General features: G+C 40.1%; 1 annotated feature.

Moving 5' to 3' along the window:
• Positions 203-832: an enhancer, noted in NCBI's record as "OCT4-NANOG hESC enhancer chr14:46280279-46280908 (GRCh37/hg19 assembly coordinates)". NCBI's record gives its function as "activates a minimal SCP1, AML or CMV promoter by ChIP-STARR-seq in primed H9 embryonic stem cells {active_cell/tissue: H9 hESC(primed)}" and the evidence as "EXISTENCE:reporter gene assay evidence [ECO:0000049][PMID:30033119]".

Below are 3,900 nucleotides of genomic sequence, written 5' to 3' on the forward strand. Positions count from 1 at the left end.
GGAACCATCATGATTATGAAAGAAAATTCTTGAGATAATTCTATGTCTGCAGTTTGCTTTCCACCTTACAAGTCCCTGGGCAAGTTACTTAATCTCTCCAGTCTCCATTACTTCTATAAACAAGGAATAATAAAAACAACTATCTCACAGAATTGTTATGAGAATTAAATCAGACGATGAATGAAGAATGACAATTACATAATAAGCATTCAATATGTTATTTGTGACTGCTAATGTTGGAAGAAAAAACGTCAAAGAATACCATGATAGACAAAAATCTGTGGCTAAATTACCTGCTTTCACAAGAAATTTGGAACCTCTTAGCCTTCTGTTGATCCTGGGAAACGGCTACTCCCTGGTAGGCTGAATATTACTTTTTGCGGTTACACACTTTGTCTGCTCCCAGAGGGCTCTTGTTCTAGACTTTCTGCTTTAAAGTGCAGCTGGTGCTCCTGTTGGCAGTCTCTTGGGGATGCAAGGGTTTGGCCCAGGGCTTTGGCCCAGTCTTGCCAGATCAAGTGGGGGTAATCTCCTGTCCCCATTTATATGCAGTACTCAGAGGTTTCCAGCTGCTTCCTTGCCATTTACTCCTGGCTTCATCCCTGTGAGGTTGATGGGTAATTAGCATGGATTTTATAGCCACCATAGGAGAGAAAAGGAACTAACCCAGCAAATATGAATTTGGTAGAAAATTTAATTTGATGCTTCCTTCTTAGCAACCCACATACAATGCAAATAATTTTCATCTCCTAACCTGTGGTGGAATTCAAGTTCTTTCTGTTTCAAATAATGGTTTATCCCAAGGGAAGTTTTCCTCATTAACAACAAAAAATACAAAAATTTGTTGGTGATCTATGATGATATTTATTCTATTTCATTTATTTAAATAGTTATAGTTGGAGAGAAGAACAAAAAGTATCAAATCTTGGATTTCTGTATGTCAAGCTACTTTATAGATTCCATCTGACTTTTTGAGAGAGAAAGTTAACAGTGTTCATCGAGCTAACTATATAATTAAATGCTTACCCACTCCTTTCTCTCTCTGGCCTCTCAATTTCTGTGCATTTGCAGAATCTAGATTTTTGATTCATTTGCATTTTGAAGATATAATAATTGTAAACAACATTTCTTGGGCACGCGCTATGTGCCGGGCTCTCTTCTAAGCTCCTGTACGTGTAGACTTGTAGAAGACATTAGGAGAAACAAGAAAAAGTAAATTTTCATGCTTTTGATATTTCTTAGAGTGAAAGCTCTATTTATTTATTTATTTATTTATTTATTTATTTATTTATTTATCCAATGGAGAGATTCAGACCTGTGAATTTACTCCTAGTGAGACCAGAGCACTCCTGGTCTAGATGTTTGTTGACTTTGTTTTTGAAACAGGGCTTATCACATCAGCTAATTATTTTTGTAAGTGCCTGGGTCCTTGATGGCTAATTTTAAATATTGTTCTAGTGTCTCTTGTCTTCTACATCTAGGCTCCTATTTTAGGTTTAGATTACATACACTAATGTGATTATTTGTTTATTTAATGTACATTTTGAAAATTTATCTCAGTAATAACTAACGTGTTTTTTAATGATAAATGTAAATTGACTTTAGAATTTTCTGAGGTTTTCTTTTTTTTCTTTTTGAGACAGAGTCTCGCTCTGTCGCCCAGGCTGTAGTGCAGTCGCGTGATCTCAGCTCACTGCAAGGTCCGCCTCCCGGGTTCACGCATTCTCCTGCCTCAGCCTCCCCAGTAGCTGGGACTACAGGCGCCCGCCACCCCACCTGGCTCATTTTTTTGTATTTTTAGTGGAGACGGGGTTTCACCATGTTAGCCAGGATGATCTTGATTTCCTGACCTCCTGATCCACCCGCCTCGGCCTCCCAAAGTGCTGGGATTACAGGCGTGAGCCACCGCGCCCGGCCCCTGAGGTTTTCTTTAAGATAGACAACAATTAACTACAGCCCTAAAATGAGAGAAAGAAATACTACATAAAGCAAACTTTTTTAAAAATTTTAAGATTTAATTTTATTTTTGTTAGCTAATATGAACCAAACATCATTCTAGAATCTGAAAGAGAGTACAGGTAGTTATCATCCCTAACTCTCTTTTAACATTTTGTTGTTCTGCTCCTTTTAAAGGTGTCTCTTTAAAGATTACACCTGTAAGATCTGCATTTTGTTCTTCATCATATTCACAATCATTGTACAATTTCAGCTCAGGGTTGATTGGCTGCCCCTACAAAAAAATCCTGCCCCTATAAAATACAAAAGCAGCGGGTGGGAGAGGAAGATACAACTCCCAGTATCGCAGAAGGTATACACCCCCCTGTGATATTGTTCGTAATTTTCAGGGAAGGAGAGGATGATATTACTCCCAATATTGCAAGGCCTGTACACCCTCCTGTGATATTGTTCATAATATCCAGAAATGAGAATATTACTCCAAATATTGCAGGGGGTGTACACCCCCTTTAATATTTTTTGTAATATCCAGTAGGGAGTGGATGATATTACTCCCAATATTGTTTGCAATTTCCATAAGGGGAGAGGATGATATTACTCCCAATATCACACAAGGCGTACACCACCCTGTGATATTGTTCATAATATCCAGGGAGAAGGAGGATGATATTACCCCCAATATCCCGGGGAGTGTACATCCCCCTGTGATATTGTTCATAATATCCATGTGGGGAGAGGATGATGTTACTCTCCATACCCCAGAGGGTGTACACCCCCCACTACGATATTGTTTGTAATTTCCAGGAGGGGAGAGCATGATGTTACTCCCCATAATGCAAGGGGTGTACACCCCCATACGATATTGTTCGTAATATTTAGACAGGGATAGGATAATGTTAATCCCCATATTGCAGAGAGTGTACATTCCCCTGCGATATGTCTGTAATATCCGGGGAAGGGGGAGAGGATAATGTTACTCTTCATATTGCATCCCCCCGAGATATTGTTCGTAATATACAGGGAAAGAGAGGATAATGTTACTCTTCATATCTCAGGGAATATACATGCAACTGCGATATCGGGGCGGGGTGGAGAGAGAGATATTACTCCCCATATCGAAGGAAGTGTACGCACCCCTGCGATATTGTTCATAATATCTATGGGGAAAGGAGATGATGTTACTCCCCATATCGCCAGGTGTGTACACCCCTCTGCGATATTGTTCATAATATTCAAGGGGAGAGAAAATGATATTACTCTCGATATCTCAGGGGATGTAAACAACCCTGCCATATTGTTTGTAATATCCAGGGAGGGAGAGGGTGATATTACTCCCCATATCACAGAGGGTGTACAACCCCCTGCGATATTGTTCGTTATATCCAGGGGGGAGATGATATTACTCCCAATATCGTAAACATCCTGTGTGTACATCCTCTATGATATTGTTCATAATGTCCAGGGTGGCAGAGGATGATTTTAGTCCCAACATCGCAGGGTTCCTACACCCTCCTGTGATATTGTTCCTAATATCCAGGGGAGTAGAGGATGATATTACTCCCAATATTGCAGGAAGTCTTCACCCCCCTGTGATATTGTTCTTAATATTCTGGGGAGGGAGAGGATGTTATTAATCCCAATAACTGGGGGATTGCATACTCCCCTGTGACATTGTTTGTAATTTTCAGGGGGTGGGTGGATGATATTTTTGCCAATATTGAAGGGGGAGTATCCCCCCGTGATATTGTGTATAATATCCACTGGGGGAGAAAATGATATTACTTCCAATATCGCGGGGGGTTGTACACCCCCCGTGATACTGTTCATAATATCTGGGGCTGGGAGAGGGTAATATTAGTCTCAATATTGCAGGGGGTGTACACCATTCTGTAATATAGTTCGCAATATTCAGGGAGAGGAAAGGATGATATTACTCTCAGTATC

Source organism: Homo sapiens, chromosome 14 (assembly GCF_000001405.40).
Source record: "Homo sapiens chromosome 14, GRCh38.p14 Primary Assembly".
NCBI lineage: Eukaryota > Metazoa > Chordata > Mammalia > Primates > Hominidae > Homo > Homo sapiens.